Source organism: Homo sapiens, chromosome 1 (assembly GCF_000001405.40).
Source record: "Homo sapiens chromosome 1, GRCh38.p14 Primary Assembly".
Lineage (NCBI taxonomy): Eukaryota > Metazoa > Chordata > Mammalia > Primates > Hominidae > Homo > Homo sapiens.
This window is the reverse complement of record NC_000001.11, coordinates 91,323,357-91,348,292: the sequence shown is the minus strand read 5'-3', so window position 1 is coordinate 91,348,292 and position 24,936 is coordinate 91,323,357. Positions and strand designations below refer to the sequence as shown.

Genomic DNA, 24,936 nt, shown 5'->3' with positions numbered 1-24,936 from the left:
TGTATGAATATTGGTATCTTTTCATGTTTTAATTTTCATTTCTTCCTTTTCATAGTTACTTTATTTTCTGTAGTTACTTTTTTGTATTGAGATATCACTTATAGTAAACTGCACAAATATGAGGTGTAGAGGTCAATGAAGTTTTATATATGTGTTTATACACACATATACACACATGTAACCACAGCCCAGATTAAGATATAGAACATTTTCTAGATGTTCCCTCATGCTCCTTTTCTGTCAGTATTTGCCCCCAGAAGTCAATGCTATTCTGACTTACATACCATAGGCTAGCTTTATCTATTCTTGAAAAGATTCCGTTTATATGAATATAAATCTTTTGATGAAAGGAAATTATTAATTTTAAATAATGCTGCTGTGAACATTGTTATATGTATATCTTTTGATACACATGTATATGTATATCTGTGGGTATGTGCCTAGGAGTGAAATTATTGTGTTAAAGGGTATGTGTAGTTTCAGCTTTAGTGAATAGCACAAAATGGTTGTTATTACCAAACATATTTTCCTAGGAACATTCATGTTATAATGAAAGTTCATTAGAAGATATTAATCACTTGATAGATACTTGCTATGTATAAAACATTTGGAAATTTATTCCATACCATTCTTGTTAAAATATGATATTCCTGTTCATTGTTTCTGTGGATATTTAAGCCTTGTTTGAACTCAATCAGCTGAGATTTTTTTTTCTTATATAAGATTTCATTAGACTGCTCTTCACTAGTTAACTGGGGTATAAACTGAGCCTGTAAAGATGAGCTAAATTCTATTTTACTTTTTCATGACATGCAGGTTTTGCATCTGGATTGAACAAAGATGGAATTGAAGCAAAATTACAAGGTTAGATGCATTTCATTCTAAAAATTAGATTCTATATATTTTAGTGAAAAAGTTCAGTTATTGTGAAAGTAAGAATATGCTTTTGTAAATCATTTTTTAAAAAGGAAACTTGTCTGCAGAAAAATAATGTGAACTATTTCTTTTTCACACAAAAAGCTTGGCATATATACTTTTTTGCTGAATTAATCAATTTATTCTATCAGAATATCTTTCTTTGTATAATATGTTAACTTGGTTTATTTGGTTTTTATTTCTAACATCACCCTGGTCTTTGAAAATATGCCTACAGATACACACTCTGTATTTTTTCTTTTTTTTAAAAGAGACAGTCTTACTCTGTCACCCAGGATGGAATGCAGTGGCGTGATCATAGCTCATTGTAACCTTGAACTCCTGAGCTCAAATGATCCTCCTGAGTAGCTGGGACTATAGGCGTGAGCCACCACAACTGGTTAATTTTGTATTTTTTTTAGAAAGGGGTTCTCACTGTATTTTCCAGCCTGGTCTCAAACTCCTGGCCTCAAGTTATCCTACTACCTCTGCCTTCCAAAACACTGAGAATGTAGCTGTGAGCGACCATGCCCAACATGTATTTTTCTTTTCTACTTAATTTTAATTGAAAAATATAAGCCTAGATTGATTATGGGCTTTGTATCCCAACCTGTGCCAAAGATGTATTCCTATCCAACCTCAGCTTTGTTATTTAGTTAATCAACTAGTGTTTCTTACTTGTTTTTTAAAATATAAAATATTGTTAGGCATTTATTCAGATTAGAAATTGCTACCTTTTCATTGTGTTGAAACTGTCTCCTTAGTAAAAGAAAATATGTTAGGTCCTCTAAAAATATTTAGCCAATTTAAATTTATTCTCTACTTGGATATACATGTGTGGCAAATAAAAATGCAGAGATAAAGATAAAGCAGTAAAATTGTCTTGCTTAAAGAATAAATATGTTCTTAAAACATGGTCATAACCAATAGCATATATTCATAATGCTGCTGTATTCACGTTGAAATACAGATTATAAGTTGTGTTATCTTCAAGGTATTGATAAATTTTGTAATGGAATTTTTAATTAAACATATATTTTGAAAATAATGATCAAATACACTCAAGAAATTAGACAAAGAGATATATTGCTATATTCAGATAACTTTAATGTTTTATCTCTTGTTAAATTAGCAGAATCACAGCTCATACTTGCCTTGTCTTCAGTCAGTATAGGGTTAGCAAAGTTTTGCCTTATAAACAAGAATAGCTAAATATAACTGAATATTAAGGTTTTGGAATTGTAGGAGAGAAAAAAAGTAACATCTTTTCCTCATTCATTGCAATGTTCACAGCTGACACTCCTGTAACAAGACAGATTAACAAGAGAAAAGCATAACAAATTTATTTAATCAAAGTTGTGTATGATATGGGAGCCTTCAGAAATTAAGACCCAAAGACCCAGGGAAAACTGAATTTCTCTGGCAATTCTAATGAAAAAAATGGATAGTTGTTGAGAAACATGACTGGACAAAAAGGGTATTATCTAATGTTAATAAACTGGGAGGAACTTAACAAGGCCTGTTTGTTCAGATTCTTCTTGGCCTCTCTATGTAGCATTCTTTCTTCTCGGGCATGAGATAGGACCATTCCGTGGGTATGAGACAGGACCATTCCACCCTGGAATGAGGGTCTTAGACTTTTAGACAAGGTAGGTCAGAGAATTCCTTTATGACCATGCTTCACACAGAAAGGCAGGGAAAGATCAGAGTGACTTTCTTGTTTCTGAAGTCCTCTTAGTCTTATTGAGTTCGAAATGCCTTGAGTCAGCATTTTCTGAGCCCTGCTATTATCCTTGGAGCTCTGCCTTAAATCTGTCAGGAAGGATCCTTAGCATAGTATATGCTGTTTCCTAAACTTGATTATACTTTCTTGCTTAGTATACTCTTAATAGCTTCCCCGTCACTCTTAGAATAAAATACAAACTTTCACCACAGCCCACAAAATCCTGCTTGATATCTCCCTGCCTATTTCTCTAACTACATCTCTTATCACTTTCTGTCTCTTTTATTCTACTCTCACCAAATTGGCCTTCTTGCTATTCCTTAAACACACCAAGCTTGTTCCCACATCAAGTCCTTTGCACACTTTGTTCCTTATTTTTGGAACACTCCTTGCATATTTTACACCTTCATTTTATTCAGGTCTCTGTTCAAATATTAACTTTTAGAGAGGTCTTCCTGTGGTATCTTACTGAGAGGAAGACAAAATGATTCTATGATGTTGTTGTTTTCCTTGTTTTTAGAAAAGGTAATGTGTTTATTTTGACAATTAGGGTGAGGATAGCCTTACTCTATATCAAAATATGTAGCGTTTATGAGAAATACATATAGGTTGGGCATGGTGGTTCATGCCTGTAATACCTTTGGGATTCCAAGGTGGGCAGATTGCCTTGAGCTCAGGAGTTTGAGACCAGCCTGGACAACATAGGGAGATCCCACCTTTACAAAGTTTTTAAAAAAAATGAGCTGGTGTTGTGGTGGTACATGCCTGTAGTTCCAGCTACTCGGGAGACTGAGGTGGGAAGATTGCTTGGGCCTGGGAGGTTGAGGCTGCAGTGAGCTGTGATCATGCTACTGTATTTTAGCCTGGGCAACAGAGTGAGACCAAGTCTCAAAAAAAAAAACAAGAAAAGAAAAGAAATGAAAATAAAAAGAAAGAAAAAGAAAGGAAAGGAAATAAAGATAAGGTTTAGTAAAAAGATTTAAAATTACACAGTCATTCTATATAGGTTCTTAGCCTTATGTTTCTTTATAGTATATGTGAAACCTTATTATTTATTTGTATGTTAATTGCTTTCTTCTGTAAAATATAAGTTCTAAAGAGAAGAACCTTATCTTGTTAACTGCTGTAAACATAGAGCTTAGAATCATGCTCAGCTTATGGTAAAGTAAGCATTTTTCATTGACTTATCGAGTAGTGAGTGGGTAATGAACTGATTTAATAGTGGGTAATTAAGAAAATTAGAAAAGACTTCAAAATCTTTACTTAACCAAACGCTTAACACTATCAAGCTGTCTAAAGAGTGTTGCTTAAACTAAAATATTTCCCAAAGAACTCCAAGGGTGTTTTTTTGAGTGGCTGCTCTATTTAGGATTGAACTATTACAGTATTCCCACTGTCTGCTCTGAACTATCTTATATCTCCTGGACTATAGCATGAGGCAGAGAAGGAACTGTCAGCAGCAGATTACTACAATTGCTCTGATCCCCATCAATAGTGAGCATGAACTAGCATTGCTTCCTGTCAGAGAAACAAAAGTAAACACCTAAAAGCATCAGTTAAAACAGTTTTAAGTTTTTGCTTCAAGAAAGTGGCAAACAGGGAGGAGGGGAAGAACTGGTGGTTTTTGGAATAATCTTTGCAGAACTATTTGACTTCTTATAATTTGTGCATACATTAATATATCTTTGATAGAAGTTTAAAGAAAAAAGAAAAAGAAAACTATTGCCTTAATGGAGGGCAGATAGCAAAGTGGTTACTTAGACCTGGAGCAAGTTACTTAGCCTCTATTCTTTAGTTTCCTAACCTATATATGAAAATATCGGTGTCTACCTTATTGTGATGTTTTGAAGATTAAATGAGGTAATACATGTGTATCATTTAAATACTCCAAGTTTTAAGTGTTATTTCTACTTACTGAATGTTATTTTTATTACTTGTATTCTTGTTACTTTTAGAAAATGTTTTTAGCATATTAGTTAGCTTTTTTATTTAAATGAGCTTTCTCTTACTGCTTAAGTAGGGACTATGGTTCTTCTAGAACAGTTACACAGTAATAGCACAACTTTAGCATATTTAATAATAAATTATTTTTCCCTACTTCCCTATTTTACTAAAATTAAAATGTGTTTTCTATAATTAAACAGAATTATGTTTGAAGAATCTGAATGATTTATCATCCCTGGACTTAATAAAGATGGATGAAGGTGTTAATTTCAAACCAACTGGTAATTTCTTATCATTGTCAGTAAATTTAGCAATTGTTTACTTAAGACTAAATTAAAATTTTGTTTTACTAAAATTTAGATGGTGATAAAACTAAATTGTGATCTCAGTTCTCAACAGGGTATCATCATTATTAGCCATAGGCATGATAAATTTAAACAAGTCCTATTTGTAATAGTTTTTTTTTTTTTTTTTTTTTTTGAGACAGAGTCTCACTCTTTTGCCCAGGCTGGAGTGCAGTGGCGAGATCTCAGCTCAATGCAAGCTCCGCCTCCCGGGTTCATGCCATTCTCCTGCCTCAGCCTCCCGAGTAGCTGGGACTACAGGCGCCTGCCACCATGCCCGGCCAATTTTTTTTTTGTATTTTTAGTAGAGACGGGGTTTCACCATGTTAGCTAGGATGGTCTCGATCTCCTGACCTTGTGATCTGCCCACCTCGGGCTCCCAAAGTGCTGGGATTACAGGCTTGAGCCACCGTGCCTGGGCACAGGTGCACAGAATTTGTCTTCACTGATTCTGGTGACTTTTGGCAGAGGAATGAAATGCTTGAATCTTTGGGTTGCTTTAAACCTGTTATAACTATTATAGATATACTTTTATTGGTATGCTTTTAATATGCTTTTTATATTCTTAAATATTCAACCATTGATAATCTGGTGGTTAGACTTCTGTAAGGTTAGTAAAAATATCTTTTCCTTCTACTCATCTTAGGTTCATTAACTGGGACTCATATAACAAAATGTATTAACAAGAGAAAAGCATACAACTTTATTTAATATGTTTTATGTGACATGGGGGCCTTTATAAGGAAATGAAGACCCAAAGAAATGGTTAAACCTGAATGTTTTTATGCCAGGTGTGATGAAGATTGAAAAGTCATGGAGAAATATGATAGGACAAAGGGGATATGAACTAAGTGTAATAAATTGGGGGAAATTTAGCAAAGCCTGTTCATTCAAATTCCACTCTGTGTCTATGGAGATAAAGATGCTCCATTCTTTAGGTATAGGGAGGGCACCTCTCACATGATGGTGTTATTACTTGCTTCAGGGAAAGGCCAGAAGAATTCTTCCTGTACATGTTGTTTCTCAAATTCCTACAGCTTAAAATATTCAATAAGCCAAGATGCTCCATTTTGGGATAGCGTGTCCTGAATCCTATCTCTCTCTCTTTCTCTCTCTCTCACGGTGGATTAGCTTTTTGATGTGCTTCTGGATTTGGTTTGCTAGTATTTTGTTGAGGATTTTTGCATCTATGTTCATCAGGAATATTCGCCTGAATTTTTTTTTTTTTTTTTTCATTGTGTCTCTGCCAAGTTTTGGTATCAGAATGATGCTGGCCTCATAGAATGAGTTAGGGAGGAGTCCCTCCTCAAATTTTTGGAATAGTTTCAGTAGGATTGGTGCCAGCTCTTCTTTATATATTTGGTAGAATTTGGCTGTGAATCAGTCTGGTCCAGGGCTTTTTCTTGTTGATAGTCTTTTTATTTCTGATTCAATTTTGAAACTTGTTATTGGTCTGTTCAGGGTTTCAGTTTCTTCCTGGATCAACCTTGGGAGGTTGTGTTTCCAGCAGTCTATCTCCCCATTTCTTCTAGGTTTTCTAGTTTGTGTGTATAAAGGTGTTCATAACAGTTTCTGGGTTTTTTTTTTGTATTTCTGTGAGATTGGTGGTCGTATCTTCTTTGTCATTTCTGATTGTGTTTATTTGTCTGGTTTCTGTTTTTTTGTTTGTTATTCTAGCTAGCAGTCTATCAATCTTATTTATTCTTTCAAAGAACCAATATCTGGTTTTGTTGATCATTTGTGTGGTTCTGTGTCTCTCAATTTTGTTCACTTCAGCTCTGATTTTGGTTATTTCTATTCCTCTGCCAGCTTTGGGGTTGATTTGCTCTTGCTTTTCTAGTTCCTCTAGGTGTGATATTAGTGAGGTTGCTAATGTGATACTTCTAGCTTTTTGATGTGAGCATTTAGTGCCATAAACTTTTCTCTGAACATTGTTTTACCTGTATATCAGAGATTCTGCTATGTTCTGCCTTTGTTTTCATCAGTTACAAAGAGTATCTTGATTTCTGCCTTAAGTTCATTATTTTCAGAAAAGTCTTTCAGAAGCATGTTGTTTAATTTCCATGTAATTGTATGGCTTTGAAAGATCTTAGTATTGATTTCTGTTTTTACTGCATTGTGGTCTAAGAATGTGCCTGGTATGATTTTTTTTGAATTTGTTGAGAATTGCTTTATAGCTGAATGTGTGGTTGATTTTAGAGTATGTTACATGTGCAGATGACAAGAATGTATATTTTGTTGTTGTTGGATAGAGTGTTCTGTAGATGTCTGTTAGGTCCATTTGGTCAAGTGTCAAGTTTAGGTCCTGAACATTTTTATTTGTTTTCTGCCCTGATGATCTGTCTAATACTGTCAGTGGGGTGTTGAAGCCTCCCAACATTGTGTAGGTATCTAAGTCTCTTTGTAGGTCTATAAAAACTTGTTTTATGAATCTGTGTGCTCTAGTATTAGATGCATATATATTTAGGATAGTTAAATCTTTTTGTTGTGTTGAACTTTTTCATCATTATCAGTGTCCTTCTTTGTCCTTTTTGATAGTTAAGGTGTAAAGTCTGTCTTGTCTGAAATTAGAATAGCAACCCCTGCTTTTTTTGTTTTCCATTTGCTTGGTAGATTTTTCTCCATCCCTTTAAGCCTATGGGTGTTATTGCATATGAGATGGGTCTCTTGAAGACAACATACAGTTGGGTTTTGCTTCTTTATCCAACTTGTCACTCTGCGCCTTTTAAGTGGGGTATTATAGTCTGTTTATATTCAAGGTTGATATTGGTATGTGTAGATTTGTCATTGTGTTGTTATGTAGACTTGTTATGTTATGTTATGTAGTTGCTTTATAGTGTCAATGGTCTAGATACTAAAGTGTGTCTTTGTGGTGGCCAGTAATGGTCTTTCATTTCTATGTTTAGTACTGTCTTAAGGACCTCTCATAAGACAGGTCTGATGCAAACAATTCCCTTAGCTTATCTGAAAAGGATTTTGTTTCTCCTTCATTGATGAAGCTTATTTTGGCTGGATATGAAACTTATGGTTGGAGTTTCTTTTCTTTAAGAATGCCAAGGCTGGGCACAGTGGCTTGTGCCTGTAATCCCAGCACTTTGGGAGGCTGAGGCAGGAAGATTATTTGAGCCCAGGAGTTTGAGACCAGTCTGAGCAATATAGTGACACCTTGTCTCTACAAAAAATTTTTCTAAAAATTAGCTGAGCATGATGGCATGTGTCTATAGTCCCGGCTACTTAGGATGCTGAGGTGGCAGGATCACTTGAGCCTGGGAGGAGGAGGTTGCAGTGAGCCAAGATTGCACCACTGCCATCCATCCTGGGTGACAGAGTAAGACCCTGTCAAAAAAAATGCTTAATATAGGCCCCCAAACTCTTCTGGCGTGTAGGATTTTTGCTGAAAGAGCTGCTGAAAGATCTGCTGTTAGCTTTATATGTTTCCCTTTGTAGGTAACATATACCTTTCTGTCTAGTTGCCCTGAATATTTTTTCTTTCCCATTGATCTTGGAGAATGTAATGACTATGTGTCTTGGGGGATGGCTGTTCTATATAGTATCTCACTGGGGCTCTCTGAATTTTCTGAATTTGAATGTTGACCCCTCTAGCAAGGTCAGGGAAATGTTTTGAACTGTATTCTCAATTATATTTTCCAAGTTTCTTGCTCTCTCTCTCTCTCCCTCTCTTTCAGGGCTACCAATGAGTTTTAAATTTTGGTCTCTACATAATCCCATATTTCTTGGAAGTTTTGTTCATTCTTTTTTATTCTTTTTTCTGTATTTTTCTCTGACTGAGTAGACTTGAAAACCTGGTTTTTGAGCTCTGAGATTGTTTCCTCAGCTTGGTTTATTCTGCTGTTAATACTTCCAATTGTATTATGAAATTCTTGCAGTGAGTTTTTCAGCTCTATCAGATCAGTTTGGTTCTTTGTTAAAATGGCGATTTTGTCCTTCACCTGTTAATCATTTTACTGGGTTCCTTAGATTTCTTGGATTGGACTTCAACTTTCTGATGAATCTTGATGATCTTCATTGCCATCCAGATTCTGAATTCTAGGTCTGACATTTCAGCCATTTCAGCCTGGTTAAGAACCATTGCTGGGGAGCTGTGTGGTTGTTTGGAAGTAAGAAAACACTCTGGTATTTTGAGTTGCCAGGGTTCTTGCTTTCTGGCAAGAACATCAGCCCAGACAGACTAATTGTTTTTCGTCTGTCTGGGCTGATGTTCCTTTAATATTTGAAGTTGCTGTCCTTCAGATGGGGCTTTTTCTTTTATATTCCTTGATGTCATTGAGATTTACTGTGGCATAAGTTGGGTTTAGTTGACTGGCTTTGTTTCTGGATGATTTCAGAGGGCTTGGGCTCAGCTCAGTGCTCCTGGGCTGCATGCTCATGGCTTTGTTTGCTGGCCCCTCGAGGTTAAGTACCTGCTGCACTGGAGGGTTAGAGGTGTTCCTGGTTCACTGGCAATCACACTTAAATGGGGCAGTGGCAGAAGGTTACGCACTCATGTGTAATGCCAACAGTGGCTGTATAGTAGCATGGTGAGGTCTGGGTATGTGCACCAGTGGTGGTGGCACAGCAGGGTCCATGTTTGCAGTGTATCAGCAGTGGCAAGACAGCAGCATAGTGGGATCCGCATGTACCGGTGGTGCACTGGTGGGGCCACGGCCGTGGTGACAAGGTCCGTGCACCATGTGCATGCTAGCAAAGTGATGTGGGGAGGCCATGGTTGAGTGCATGCCAGCAGAGTGGTTGGGGGAGGCTGCAGACAGGTGTGTGTTGGCAAAGCAGTGTGAGGAGGCTGTTGGTGGGTGCACATCGGCAGGGTCCATCTAATGGTTCAGTGGCATCTGCTGGCTAAGGAGCTATGGTGGTGGCCACTAGGCGGTGCCCCAGTTGGGCAACTGAGGCCACACTGCAAGTGAGCTTGGCCATGGAGGGACCCCAGAAGAGGCTGGCAGTCAGGGGGCACTCAGATAAGACTGGCCCCATCACATGGACAAGACTGCCCTGCTCTGTCTAGGTCCAACAGTCAACAAAGGCCAAAACCACTTAGAGGAGCATGGCAGGCCTTGGGGGATTGGCATTCCTGACTGTACTCCACTGTAGCCATTCCTGTGCCAAACCCTTTGGGCTCCACACAGGGTGGAGTCCTGTCCCTGCCATTTCTCCAGGCAGTTCTCTCTGCCAATTTAAATGTCTGTGGGGGTCATGAGGTCTTCTGCAGCTAAGATTCCAGAGGTCCGTGACAAGAGTGGGCCACTCCTCACCTGTTTAACTCACCCTTCCCCAGGAGCCACCAGGGGCTGGGAATGAGTCCTGGTGCTTTGAAGCCCACTGCAGTGTTCCCAGCTTCTACCTAGGGTCTGTGTCTTCCCTCCAACCACCCTCAATGACTTCCTTCTGAAGATCTGCTTCGAGTGTGCTGGTCTTCCTGATGGTCTGGTCTTTTGGTGGGAGATGCTCTTCCTGGCTGTGTCCAGTTGGCCCTCTTGGTTCTCCTCCTCCTTTCTCAGTTCCTGAAGGATGGAAGCCTGAGTTAAGTGTGCTGACATGGTCAGATTCTGTTGAGGGTTCTCTTCCTTTGCACACAGTCATCTTCATGCTGTGTGCTCACATGATTTCTTATTTGTACATGTAATTTCTTGGCTTTTCTGGTGTTCCAGAGTTCTCCCTATGGATCTCCCAGTATCTGCAGGTCACAGGGTGACAGAGGCTGCAGCCAAGTTACCTGAGGCCTCCCGGAAAAAAGGGGATGCAGTACTGGAGACGGGACTCTGAGCTTCCCCATCAAATTGTGGAAGATGCTGCACCATGCTGGGTTTGTAATTTCTTAGCCTGTTATTAATGTAGATGTAATTTTCTTACATAGTATTTCTAATTAATTCATTTTTATGACTTCTTATTCCTTCATATTACTAATACTTTATTTTGTCTCTTTGAGTTTATTTTTTGTATATCAGTTTTTAGTTTGTATGTTCCTATAATTCTGCTTCATATAGTTTTTGCTTTTTAGGTTGTAATCATAATACTCAAGTATCTAGGTATTTTCATCTGTATGTTTGCATTGAGGTTTTTACCTGTTTGCCAGATAATGTGTACTGAGAGAAGGGCTCAAAAGGCCAATTTTTTCCCGCTTCAACTGTTCTGGTATATGAGCAGATGTGCAGGTTCGTTACAGGTAAACATGTGGCATGGTGGTTTGCTGCACAGATCATACCATCACCTGTGTATCAAGCCCAGCATCCATTAGCTATTCTTCCTGATGCTCTCCTTCCCCTCGCCCTCCCCAACAGACCCCAACGTGTGTTGTTCCCCACAACGCGTCCACGTGTTCTCATTGTTCAGCTCCCATTTATAAATGAGAACATGCGGTGCTTGGTTTTCCGTTCCTGTGTTGGTTTGCTGAGGATAACGGCTTCCAGCTCCATCCATTTTCCTGCAGAGGACATATCTCATTCCTTTTCATGGCTGCATAGTATCCCATGGTGTATGTGTACCACGTTTTCTTTATCCAGTCTTTCATTGATGGGGATTTAGGTTGATTCCATGTCTTTGATATTGTGAATAGTGCTGCAGTGAACATACGTGTGCATGTATCTTTACAAAAGAATGATTTGTATTCCTTTGGGTATATACCCAGTAATGGGATTGCTGGGTCAAATGGTATTTCTGGTTCTAGGTCTTATAGGAATTGCCACACTGTCTTCCGCAGTGGTTGAACTTATTTACACTCCCACCAACAGTGTAGAAGCATTCCTTTTAATCTGCAATCTTGCCGGCTTCTGTTGTTTAATTTCTACTGTGAATTTAAGAAAGATTAACCTTCTGAAGATAGGTGGTAACTGCAATAGTCTGGAAGAGTCACTAAACTGGGATGCAGATCTTACCTCTTTGAAGGATAGGGATAGAGGGAAAGAAGAAAGGACAGGATGGAGGGAAGTAGGAAAAGAAGGGATGGAGGTAAGGAGGGAAAGGGGAGGAGGGTAGGAAGGAATGCAGGGGGAGGGAACATGGTGGGGCAGAGAGGGAGAAAGTATGAGAGGAAGGAAGGATGGGATGGAGGAAGGGATGTTTTTAGACAACTTATAATTGAATCCCATAACTCTGGAAGGAAGGGAGGAAGGAAGGGAGGGAGGGAGGGAGAGAGAGATAGAGATAGATCTTAGCCTGCAAGGAGGGAGGCAGGGATCTTAGCTTGCAAGAAGGGAAGGAGGAGGGGAGGGTAGGAGGGATTTTAGCCTCCAAGGAGGATGGGACAGAGAAAGCCCTTGGAGGATCTTAGCTTGCAAGAAGGGAGGGAGGAGGGGAGGGCAGGAGGGATTTTAGCCTCCAAGGAGGATGGGAGAGAGAAAGCCCTTGGAGGATCTTAGCTTACAAGGAGGGAAGGAGAGAGGGAGAGAGGGAGGGAGAGAGGGGTCTTAGCCTGCAGTGCAATCCTAAGAACATTTGGCAAAGTTGATAGGAACTCTTATAGATGTACCTTAGCATCCCTGCCATGCTCAGTCATTGACTGGGGCCATCTCATGAAAGTATGATCTCGGTGTAAACATGATGATGATTCAGAGCACAGCAGCTGGGGCCATCAGTCACTGACACGTCTTGCAGTAGGAGGTCTGAAAGGTACATTCTCATGTCCTCCATGCTCCCTACCACTGTATTTTATGAAATATCCTGAATTTCCTGTTAGAATATTAATCTTTGAAATATCCTGAATTTCCTGTTAGAATATTAATCTTTGAAATATCCTGAATTTCCTGTAAGAATATTAATCATTCAGTAGCTATATTAATAGCAAGTTGTTTCTTTATTTCCTTGCTTTACTTGCAAATCTTTAAAAATTACTTTTCATTCCCTCTGCTTTGACTCATTTTCCTTATGCTTTCCTTTCTAGGTTATGTTTTTCTGTCTTACCTAGGAAAGCTTCATCTCTATTAATAAGCCAACAAGTATTAAGTCTTTTCTTAAAACCTTTCATTTTCTCTATCAGGAAGAGACCTTATATTAACTTATAAATATTTAGGGTAAGAGGACCATCTTTAAATATACTGCAATGGTTAACTAGTTCTCGTGGTAATTATAATCTTGATATTTCACACCCTTCTCTCAGAAGCTCCTTTTTATAAACTAATCCATTATTCACATGTTGGCTGAACATATTCACCAGGATCCTAATTGAGAGCCTGGCTACTTCTCTATTCCTGATTGTTAGTTTTATCTATTGTACCATGTCCTTGGTGCTTGTAACTCTGTTGGAATGCCAAAAATCTTTTCTTCTTCAGCAAAACATTTAGCACATACGTAAATGTTAGCCCTTTCCTTGAGAAGCAGGATGCTACTTTCTTCTTCCCAGCTGTTTTCTATGTGTTCATAAGGCTTGAAATTCTTTGGAATGTTTTTAGACAACTTATCGAATCCAGTAACTTTTTTTTTTTTTTTGAGACAGAGAGTCTTGCTCTGTCACCCAGGCTAGAGTACAGTGGCACGATCTCGGCTCACTGCAACCTCCACCTCCCGGGTTCAAGCGATTCTCCTGCCTCAGCCTCCTGAGTAGCTGGGACTACAGGTGCCCGCCACCACGCCCAGCTAATTTTTGTATTTTTAGTAGAGACAGGGTTTCACCATCTTGACCAGGCTGGTCTCGAACTCCTGACCTCATGATCCACCTGCCTCGGCCTCCCAAAGTGCTGGGATTACAGGTGTGAGCCAATGCGCCCGGCCGAATCCAGTAACCTCTTAAGTGAATTCCATTTCATCAGTTAGTTACCCCCATTTCTCCCATACTCCTACCCACAACCAATCTGCTGTTCTATTTCCGGAATAACTTATTTTCAGACTCCAGTTTAATTAAAATATTGCTCAAGAATTTTAAGTGGTCACCTGTTATTTTATAAATCAAATCCAAAATATAACCTCTTTTAATATCATTTGAGGGCTCTTTCAGGGCCTCTCTATCATTTGTCATGTTTTAATAATAAAAATAGGTAACACATTAAATATTAGGCACCATGCTAAGTACTATATATCCATTTTTAATTGCACTTAATCTTCTCCACAACAAACTTCTGAGGTGTGGGTAGTTTTATTATTCCCACATTACATTAAGAAACTGGTCACGTAACTTGTGCATGATCACTTGCATACCCAATAAGAGGAGGAGCAGCGATTCTAATCAACTCAGTCTGATCAGGACTCATAATCACTGTCAAGCCATATGTTTTTCCAGCCATCATTACAGTATTCTAAAGATAGTCTTTTTAACTTTACTCTTTGGATAAACAGGATTTTCCCCAACGTCATAATGGCATTATTTCCTCTCTACTAAAGCATATTAGTCACTTTAAAAACCCTTCTCAAGATCCATTATTTGTAGTAGGCCACTCTACACTGACCATTCCTCTTAGGTTTGATTTCCTCCATACTCAAGTTTGTATGTAAATACTAACATTAGCTGATTTTTTGTCGTCTAGGTACTTAGCATGTAGTTATCTTCCTAGCCAACCTATAAATTCTAGAGATTGTGTCTTCTACATTTTTTGGTATGTCTTTTGTGCCTGGTGGCATTACAGGCACAAAGTACATGTTAAGAAAATGTTTTAAATTATTTTTAAATTTTTGTCGGTAAATGGTAAGTATATATATTTATAGAGTTCATGAGATATTTTGGTGCAGGTATGCAATGTGTATAATGATATCATGGAAAATCCATCCCCTCAAGTATTTATCCTTTGTGTTACAGACAGTCCAATTATACTGTTTAAGTTATTTTTAAAATGTACAGTCAAATTATTATTGACTATCGTCACCCTGTTATGCTATCAAATACTAGGTCTTATTCATTCTTTCTGTTTTTTTTTTATTTTTGTACCCATTAACCATCCCCACCAAACTCCCCTCCACCCTCCCACTACCCTTCCCAGCCTCTGGTAACCATCTTTCTACTCTCTATGTCCATGAGTTCAATTATTTTGATTTTCAGATTCCACAAATAAGTAAGAACATGCAATGTTGGTCTTTCTGTGCCTGTCTTATTTCACTCAGCATAATGACCTGGGGTTCCATCCATGTTGTTGCAAATGATAGGATCTCATTCTTTCTGTGGCTGATTAATACTCCATTGTGCATATGTACCACATTTTCTTTATCCATTCATCTGTTGATGGACACTAAGTTGCTTCCAAATCTTGGCTATTGTGAACACTGCTGCAATAAACACTGAGAGTGTAGATACCTCTTTGATATACTGATTTCCTTTCTTTTGGGTATATACCCAGCAGTGGGATTGCTGGATCATATAGTAGCTCTCTTTTTAGTTTTTTGAGGAACCTCCAAACTATTCTCCATAGTGGTTGTACTAATTTACATTCCCACCCACAGTGTACAGGGGTTCCCTTTTCTTCACATCTTCACCAGCATTTATTATTGCCTGTTATTTGGATAAAAGCCATTGTAACTGCGGTGAGATGATATCTCATTGTACTTTTGATTTGCATTTCTCTGATGATCAGTGATGTTGAGCACCTTTTCATATGCCTGTTTGCTGTTTGTATGTCTTCTTTTGAGAAATGTTGATTCAAATCTTTTGCCCATTTTTCAACTGGATTATTAGATTTTTTCCTGTAGAGTTGTTTGAGCTCCTTATATATTCTAATTATTAATCTTTTGTCAGATGGGTAGTTTGCAAATATTTTCTCCCATTCTGTGGGTTTTCTTTTCACTTTGTTGATTGTTTCCTTTGCTGTGTAGAAAGTTCTTAACTTGATATGTTCCCATTTGTCCATTTTTTGTTGCCTGTGCTTGTAGGGTATTACTCAAGAAATTTTTGCCCAGACCAATGACCTGGAGAGTTTCCCTAATATTTTCTTGTAGTAGTTTTGTAGTTTGAGTTGTTAGATTTAAGTCTTTAATCCATTTTGATTTGATTTTTATATATATCAAGAGATAGGGGGTCTAGTTTCATTTTTCTGCATGTGGATATCCAGTTTTCTCAGCACCATTTATTGAAGAGACTGTCTTCCCTAATGTATGTTCTTGGCACCTTTGTCAAAAATGAGTTCACTGGATGTGTGTGGATTTCTTTCTGGGTTCCTTATTCTGTTCCATTGATTGATGTGTCTGTTTTTATGCCAGTACCATATTGTTTTGGTTACTATAGCTCTGTAGTATAGTTTGAAATCAGGTAATGTAATTCCTCCAGTTTTGTTCTTTTTGCTTAGACTAGCTTTGGCTATTCTGGATCTTTTGTAGTTCCATATAAATTTTAGGATTTTTTTTTCCCTTTCTGTGAAGAATGTCATTGGTATTTTGATAGGGATTGCACTGAATCTCTAGATTACTTTGGGTAATATGGAAATTTTAATAATATTGATTTTTCCAATCCATGAACATGGAATATTTTTTCATTTTTTGGTGTCCTCTTCAATTTCTTTCATCAGTGTTTTATAGTTTTTGTGTTTCTTTGTTTGTTTGTTTTTGAGATGGAGTCTCCCTCTGTCGCCCAGGCTAGAGTGCAGTGGTGCGATCTTGGCTCACTGCAACCTCTGCCTCTCGGGTTCAAGTGATTCTCCTGCCTCAGCCTCCTGAGTAGCTGGGATTACAGGCGCCTGCCATCACACCCAGCTAATTTTTGTATTTTTACTAGAGACAGGGTTTCGCCATGTTGGCCAGGCTAGTCTCAAACTCCTGACCTGAAGTGATCTGCCTGCCTTTGCCTTCCAAAATGCTGGGATTACAGGCATGAGCCACTGCACCCAACCAGTGTTTTATAGTTTTAATTACAAAGATCTTTCACTTCTTTCATTAATTCCTAGATATTTAATTTTAATTGTGGCTATTATAAATGGGATTACTTTTTTATTTCTTTTTCAGGTTTTTCATGGAATATTTTTTCATTTTTTGGTGTCCTCTTCAATTTATTTCATCAGTGTTTTATAGTTTTAATTACAAAGATCTTTTACTTCTTTTATTACTTTCTAGATATTTAATTTTAGTTGTGGCTATTATAAATGGATTACTTTTTATTTCTTTTTCAGAGTTTTCACTGTTGGCATATAGGAATGCTACTGATTTTTGCATGTTGATGTTGTATCCTGCAACATTACTGAATTTATTATTTCTGACAGTTTTCTTGTGGATTCTTTATGTTTTTCCAAATATAAGATTATTTCATCTGCAAACAAGGATAATTTGACTTCTTCCTTTCCAAGCGAATGTCCTTTATTAATTTCTCCTATCTGATTGCTCTAGCTAGGACTTCCAATACTATGGTGAATAACAGTGGTGAAAGTGGGCATCCTTGTCATATTCCATATCTTAGAGGAAAGCTTTTCCGTTTATCCCCATTCAGTATGATACTAGCTGTGGGTCATGATATATGGCTTTATTATTCCTTCTATACCCAGCTTTTTGAGGGTATTTATCATGAATGGATGTTGAATTTTATCGAATGCTTTTTAAGCATCAATTGTGATTTTTGTTCTTCATTGTCTTGATATGATGTATCACATTGGTTGATTTGTATACGTTGAACTATCCTTGCATCCCTGGGATAAACCCCACTTGGTCATGTTGAATAATCTTTTTAGTGTGTTGTTGAATTTGGTTTGCTAGTATTTTGTTGAGGGTTTTGCATCAATATTCATCAAAGATATTGGCCTGTAGTTTCCCTTTTTTGATATGTCTTTGTCTGGTTGTGGTATCAGGGTAATAACGTCCTAGTAGAGTAAGTTTGGAAGTATTCCCTCCTCCTCTATTTTTTGAAACAGTTTTTGAGCAGGATTTGTGGTAGTTCTTCTTTAAATGTTTGGTAGAATTCAGCAGTGAAGCCATTGGGTCCCAGGCTTCTCTTTACAGGGAGACTTTATTATGGTTTCAATCTCATTACTTATTATTTTTCTGTTCAGGTTTTGGGTTTCTTCATGGTTCAATCTTAGTAGGTTGTATGTGTCTAGGAATTTGTTCATTTCTTCTAGATTTTCCAATATATTGGCATGTAGTTGCTGCTAGTAGCCACTAATGATCCTTTGAATTTGTATGGTATCAGTTGTAATGCCTCCTTTTTCATCTCTGATTTTATTTATTTGGATATTTTCTTTTTCTTCTTCTTCTTTTTTTTTACTTTTATAATTTTATTGACTTTTTTCTTTATAACTTTAAAACAAAAACAGCACATGAAAACCAGTGTCTTATCCCAAAGTCTCAACTCAGCTGATTGCCAGATGAACATCACCGTCTTACTCCTCTGAATAACTAGACACAAATTACATAGCAAGTTCGAGTGTCTGCCCACCCAAGACACAGCCAGCAATCAGTCACAGACATAGACACAGTCAACTCCAGGGGCTCCAGCTCTCTGCCTATCTTCTCTCAGCAGTTCCTCCCATCTGCTAAGATGCGCCTTCCTGATGGCTGTCTCTCAAGGTGGGTCAAGGCTGAACAAGACAGAAAAGCAGTCTAGGTCCACCATCACCTCCCACTGGCCACCAGTTGGCCAGCCAGGAAATCATTTTTGTACATCTTTTGTCTCCCCCTTTTATCTCCCTCTCTCTTCTCCAAAACTTGTTGCTATCTATCACTTTCATGTAACAATGGACTTATTGTCCATCCACTAAACTGCCTGAGAAGTGGTTTGAGCCTGACATATTTTCCTGAGCTAAAAAAGGAAAAGTACCTCTGTGGCCTTCTTGCCATTAAGATCAAGTAAAAAAGGGACTAGCACTACTGAAAAGGGTCACGCTAGAAAAACCTTAGAATGCTCTCTCCACCCCTGTGAAGGTTTCTCTAGCTGTAGCTCTTAAGGGTACAAGAGGGCAAATATTCTGGTGTCAAGGAGGTATAATGGGGAAACACATTTATTTTCCCCTTTTAAACTTCCTTGCTGCCCCAGTCTTTGCCTTCTTCTTAGTGGATCCCTTTGATTCTGGCTCCTTGCACTTAGCTGAAGAGAGTGAGCCAGTCACCTTGAAGAAATCATCCAGGCGGCCCTGGGTGCTGCCTTAATGACTCTTACTCAGCCTCTTGACCCCACTGTGGATTCGCTCCTCAGAGAACTGCTTTTCACCACACACGAACTTGACCAGCTCTTCTTCATTTGGCTCGCTCCACTTCAGCTCCACAGACTCTGGGCCCAGCACCTCAGGTTCCAAGAAGAGCTGGTAAGCCTCCTTGTGGAGCCGATTTTCTGGCAAAGGGTACTTGTTGGGGTCAAGTCGCTGCACGATCTCCTCGATGCTCTTGTGCTTCTGGATTAGATCCACAGCCCGCTTGGGCCCAATACTCCAGATACTCTTACAGTAGTCACTGCCTAGCAGGATGCACAGATCCACAAACTGTTCCTGGTTCTAGCTCCTGCAGAATCCAGCTCAGGTGGAATTCCTGGATTGGCAGCTTTTTGGCTTCACTGGCAGTCAGGTGTTGCATTAGCACAGGGCTGCCGAAGGTGAAGCAGTCCATGTCCTCGGTAGCCACAGGATAGACTTTGCCAGCCTTCACCAGGGCAGCACAGCTGGCCTCTGCCTCGATGGGTGCATCAAGGTAAGGGATGCCCATGAGGCTCAGCAGATGTTTGCACTTATCGTTGTGCTGCTTAGTGACCTTCACCAGCCACTTAGTGAATTTTTCCACCACCTGCTCGGCCCCAGCAGCCTGAGCCTGCTGTAGCTGCTTCTCTGCCTCAGCCCCGCAGTTCACTGCATTTGGCCAGCTCGCCTGACTTGTGCTGTGGTGGCGTGCCCTCAAAGACATACATGGGCTTGATGCCGTTCTCCATCACGCGAATAGTGCGGTAGAACATGCCTATCAGGTGGCTGGTGGTCTCACCCTCCTCGTTCTGCAGCACATCCCCACCCTGGCGAACAGCAATCAGGAACTGATAAGTGCTCATAGAGGCATCAATGGCCACCTTACGGCCAAAGTAGCTCTTGATGTCATTCTCCCGGGTGGCACTGGGGGCCACATCAGCAATTAGTTTGGCCAGGCCTTGAATACCCATGGCAACACAGAGGAGGGATGACTGGCCTTTGGGACACGAGGCCTCGGCGGCTAAAGCTTGATTCAGGGTTGCCCTGGGCAGGCGGTCCTAAGCCCACTTTCCCCCCTCAGCTTAGCTGCGGGTCGCCTGACACTCAGCCCTTCTTTTTCTTCTTAGTCTGGCTAAAGGTTTGTCAATTTTGTTAACCTTTTCTAGAAACCAACATTTTTGTTTCATTGGTCTTTTGTATTGTTTTCTTCATTTCAATTTTATTTCTGCTCTGACATTTATTATTTCTTTTCTTCTACTAATTTTGTGTTTGGTTAGCACTTGCTTTTCTAGTTCTTTAAGATGCATCATTAGGTTTTTTATTTGACATTTTTCTTCTTTTTTGATGTAGGCACTTGTAGCTATAAACTTTCCTCTTCATACTACTTTTGCTGTATCCCATTGGTTTTGGTATGTTGTGTTTCCATTATCATTTGTTTCAAAAAATTTTTCACTTTTCATCTGAATTTATTCATTGACGCGCTGGTCATTTAGGAGCCTGTTGTTTAATTTCCATGTATTTGTATAGTTTCCAAAATTCCTTTTGCTATTTATTTCTAGTTTTATTTCAGAAGATGCTTGATATTATTTCAATTTTTAAAACTGTTTTAAGACCTGTTTTGTGACCTAACATATGGTCTCTCCTTGAATGATCCATGTGCTGATGAGAAAGATGTGTATTCTGCAGCTGTTGGATGAAATGTTTTGTAAATATCTATCAGGTCCATTTGGTCTATAGTGCAGATTAAGTTTGATGTTTCTTTGTCGATTTTCTGTCTGGATGATCTGTTCAGTGCTGAAAGTGGGGTGAAGTCTCCAGCTATCATCATATTGGGGCCTATCTCTCTCTTTATCTCTAATAATATTTGCTTTATATATCTGGGTGCTCCTCACTATAACCTCCACGTCCCAGGCTCAAGTGACCCTCCTACCTCAGCCCCCCAAGTAGCTGGGATCACAGGCACATGCCACCATTCCTGGCTAACTTTTTTGTATTTTTGGTAGAGATGGGGTTTTGCCGTGTTGCTCACGCTTGTCTCAAAGTGCTGAGCTCAGGCAATCCTCCTGCCTTGGCCTTGCAAATTGCTGGGATTATAGGCATGACCCATTGTGCCCAGCCTCAGTCTATGTATTTTTATTGGAGACTTTAGCCCATTTACATTCAATGTTATTATTGATAAGTAGGAACTTACTCCTGCCATTTTGTTATTTGTTTTCTGGTTGTTTTACAGTCTTCTCTTCCTTCTTTCTGTCTTCCTGTCTTCTGTTCAGTGAAGGTGATTTTCTCTGGTGGCATGCTTTAATTTCTTGCTTTTTATTTTTTGTGTATCTGTTGTATGTCTTTCAATTTGAGGTTACCATGGGGTTTGCAAATACTGTCTCGTAACCCATTATTTCACACTGATGATAACCTAACACTGATTGCCTAAACAAGCAAACAAAAATGTAAAAAGAAAACTAATAGACACTCTACACTTTAACTTCATCCCCATGCTTTTTACCTTTTTCTTGTTTCCCTTTACATCTTATTATTCTGTGTCTTGAAAAGCTGTTGTAGCTATTATTTTTGATTGCTTCATTTAGTCTATTTAAGTCAAGAGAAGTTTACACACCACAATTACAGTGTTATAATATTCTGTGTTTTTCTGTGTGCTTACTATAACCAGTGAGTTTTGTACTTTCAAATGATTTTCTTCTTGCTTATTAACATCCTTTTCTTTCAGATTGAAGAGCTTCCTTGAACATTTCTTAGAGGACACGTCTGGTGTTGATGAAATCCCTCAGCTTTTGTTTGTCTAGGAAGCTCTTTATTTCTCCTTCATTGTTAAAGGATATTTTCAGCAGATATACTATTCTAGAGTAAAAGGGTTTTTTTTTTCTTTAGCACTTTAAATATGTCCTGCCACTCTCTCATGGCCTGTAAGGTTTCCACTGAAAAGTCTGCTGCCAGACACATTGGAGCTCCATTCTATGCTGTTTGTTTTTTGCTGCTCTTAGGATCCTTTCTTTATCCTTGACCTTTGGGAGTTTGATTATTAAATACCGTGAGGTAGCCTTCTTTGGGTTAAATCTGCTTGGTATTCTATAACCTTCTTTTACTTGAATGTTGATATCTTTCTCTGTGTTTGGGATGTTCTGTGATACTATGCTTTTGAATAAACTTTACTGCCATCTCTTTTTGTACTGCTTCTTTAAGGTCAATAACTCTTAGATTTGCCCTTTTGAGGCTATTTTCCAGATCTTATAGGTGTACTTCATTTTTTTAAAATTATTTTTTCTTTTGTCTCCTCTGACTATGTATTTTCAAATATCCTGTCTTCAAGCTCACTTACTGTTTCTTCTGCTTGATCAGTGTTGCTGTTAAGATACTCTGATGCATTGTTCGGCATGTCATTGCATTTTTCCAACTCTAGGATTTCTGCTTTATTCTTTTTAATTATTTCAATCTCTTTGTTAAATTTATCTGATAGAATTCTGAATCCTTTCTCTGTGTTATCTTGAATTTCTTTGAGTTTCTTCAAAACAGCTATTTTGAATTCTCTGTCTGAAAGGTCACATATCTCTCTTTTTCTAGGATTCATTCCTGCTGCCTTGTTTAGTTCACTTGGTGAGGTCATGTTTTCCTGGAGGTGTTCTTTGGTGTCTGAGCATTCAGCAGCTAGGTATTTATTCTAGTCTTCACAGTCTGGGCTTGTTTTTGCCTGTCCTTCTTGAGAAGGCTTTCTAGGTATTCAAAGGGACTTTGGCCATAAGCCCGATTATGCTGTGGTTTTTGCAGATTCGTAGACCTACCACCTTGGTGTTCATGGATAAGATGGAGAAGAATTCTCTGGACTATCAGGCAAAGACTCTTGTTCTTTTCCCTTACTTTCTCTCAAAAATACAGATTCTCTCTCTCTGTGCTGAGCCACTTGGAATTGGGGCTATGCTGATGTAAGCACTCCTGTGGGCTGGGACTGTGCTGGGTCAGACCTGAAGCCAGCACAGCACTGGGCCTTCCCAAGGCCTTTCACTTCGGGATGGTGAGTTCCCCCAGGTCCTGGGTGTGTCCAGAGATACTGTCTGAGAGACTGTCTGAGAGCCAGGGATTGGAAGAGTCTCTGCCTGTGGCCACGACCTTCACTGGTCCTCAGGGGGTTGTGCCAAGTCATCACTGATGTTCACTTAAAGCCCAAGGGCTCTTCTGTCAGCTTATAGTGAATGCTGCCAGGCCTGGGACTATGCATCCTTCAGGGCAGTAGGCTCCCCCTCTGGCCCAGGGCAGGTCCAGAAATGCTGTCTTAAGAGCCTAGGCCTGGACTCAGAGACCCCAAGAGCCTCCTTGTTGCTCTACCCAGCCATGGCCAAGCTGGTACCTGATTTTTGATTCTTGTGACAGTACTTTTCTGTGTGCAGAAAAGCAATTAGAGTGCTTTTGTGTGTGCAGATTGTTGTTAAAATTTGGTGTTCCTGCAGTGAGGACCAATGGTCTAGGCTTCTGTTCTACCATCTTGCTTCTCCTCCCCTCAGGAAATGTTTGTTAAACATAAAAAAACAGTTGGTTCAGCTGATGAGGGGACCGTTCATTTTTCTGTCTTTTCTTACAGAAGCAGGAAGATTGATGGCTTGGTATTATATTACATTTGAGACAGTGAAGAAATTTTATACAATCAGTGGAAAAGAAACCTTATCAGATCTGGTAAATTAATTTTCACTAGAAAAAAAATACATAGTGGTATAGTATAAAATAATATTTGAGAAACAACTAATTTGTGTATCTCATATAATTTAAGAATGAATGAGCAGAAAAGAAAGCATTTCTAAGATATATCCTCTGGTATAATTCTGATCATGAGATATGGAATAGTCTTTCTTAGAATATATTATATTTTCTGTTTTAACTCTTATCAGAGCTAAGAAAACTTATATACAAAACTAAAATAGGTATGGCAACTACTTTACAACTTAGGTGATAATGCTAATTACCTTGGTAGTGGCTACACAATGTAATAATATGTAAGAAAGATTCCAAGATGATGTGGTGTGATATATTAGGAAAGTCTACCATGAGTGAAGGACAGTGAGTTGCATGCAGCATGTGTGCCACGTACTTGCAACCCTTCCCTAAATATTTTGGGTGAGAACAGTGAGAACAATGGAAATAGAATAGTATTGGTGATGACCTAGATAAAAGAACTGATTGTAGAAAAAATGGGAATAATAACAGGTTATGCTAAAATATCAACAATGGGGCAACTTTGCAGCTGCAGCAGTGAATAGAACCATAGGCATGTCATTGGTATATGGCGACTGCATTGGTCCTTTCTCCCTTTACTCAGGACATGAATATGAAACAATATTCATAAAAGAAAATATTTACTCTCAAATTTAAGCCGTTCATTTTTATTTAAAATATCTAATTTGATTACTGTGGTAAGATTATTGTAGTAAAAATTGCACAGTAGAATTCCAGTTATGATTGAGGAGTCACATAAACAACAATTGATGAAAAATAGAAGGTTTGTATTTTTGTGTAAACATTATTCTTAACTAAGGAGAAATCAAGAGTCGAAAACACCCACTATTAACATTAACTCATCTGATCTTGAGTTTAGCAAGTGTGTAAGAAAATTAAAACAAGTGTTAGTTCCATTTTAGATATGTGGGAAACCAAAGCACAGAGACTGCTTTGTTTGTCATCTGGTGGAAGTAGGCTCTAGAATCCAAATTTCCTAATATCTAAAACATTCTATGACTAAATTATCCTCAATTGAGATAATGATTTGCAAACTATAGAACAGTAGAATAGCAGTAGTAGTAGTATTAGGAGTAGGAGTAACAAAAACAGTGTTTATTGAGGACTTATTTATTACTATGTGATAGGCACTGGGCTAGATATTTTAAATTCTATCTTGTTAATCTTTAAAGTTTTATTGGTATAGTCCTGGTGTCTAATGCAGTGTCTGGTATATAATAGGAGTTTGTAAGCATTTGTTAGTGAATGAATGAATCCTTAA

At 38.6% G+C, this 24,936-nt stretch overlaps 1 protein-coding gene and 1 pseudogene across 21 annotated transcripts in view; one reads left to right on the top strand and one right to left on the bottom strand.

Moving 5' to 3' along the window:
* Positions 1–24,936, top strand: part of HFM1 (helicase for meiosis 1) — a 147,242-nt gene that overhangs the window by 59,715 nt on the left and 62,591 nt on the right. For 18 of the 21 annotated variants that reach the window (XM_011540852.3, XM_011540857.2, XM_017000491.2 and 15 more), the window contains 3 exons: positions 817–864; positions 4,783–4,863; positions 23,527–23,618. In XM_011540852.3, coding sequence (XP_011539154.1) covers positions 817–864; positions 4,783–4,863; positions 23,527–23,618 — 221 coding nt within the window. Of the gene's footprint in view, positions 1–816; positions 865–4,782; positions 4,864–10,612; positions 11,856–23,526; positions 23,619–24,936 lie in introns of those variants that run through there. The other 3 variants (NR_165455.1, XM_017000490.2, XM_024453708.2) reach the window with 2 other exon arrangements.
* On the bottom strand, positions 18,037–20,051 carry FEN1P1 (flap structure-specific endonuclease 1 pseudogene 1; annotated as a pseudogene).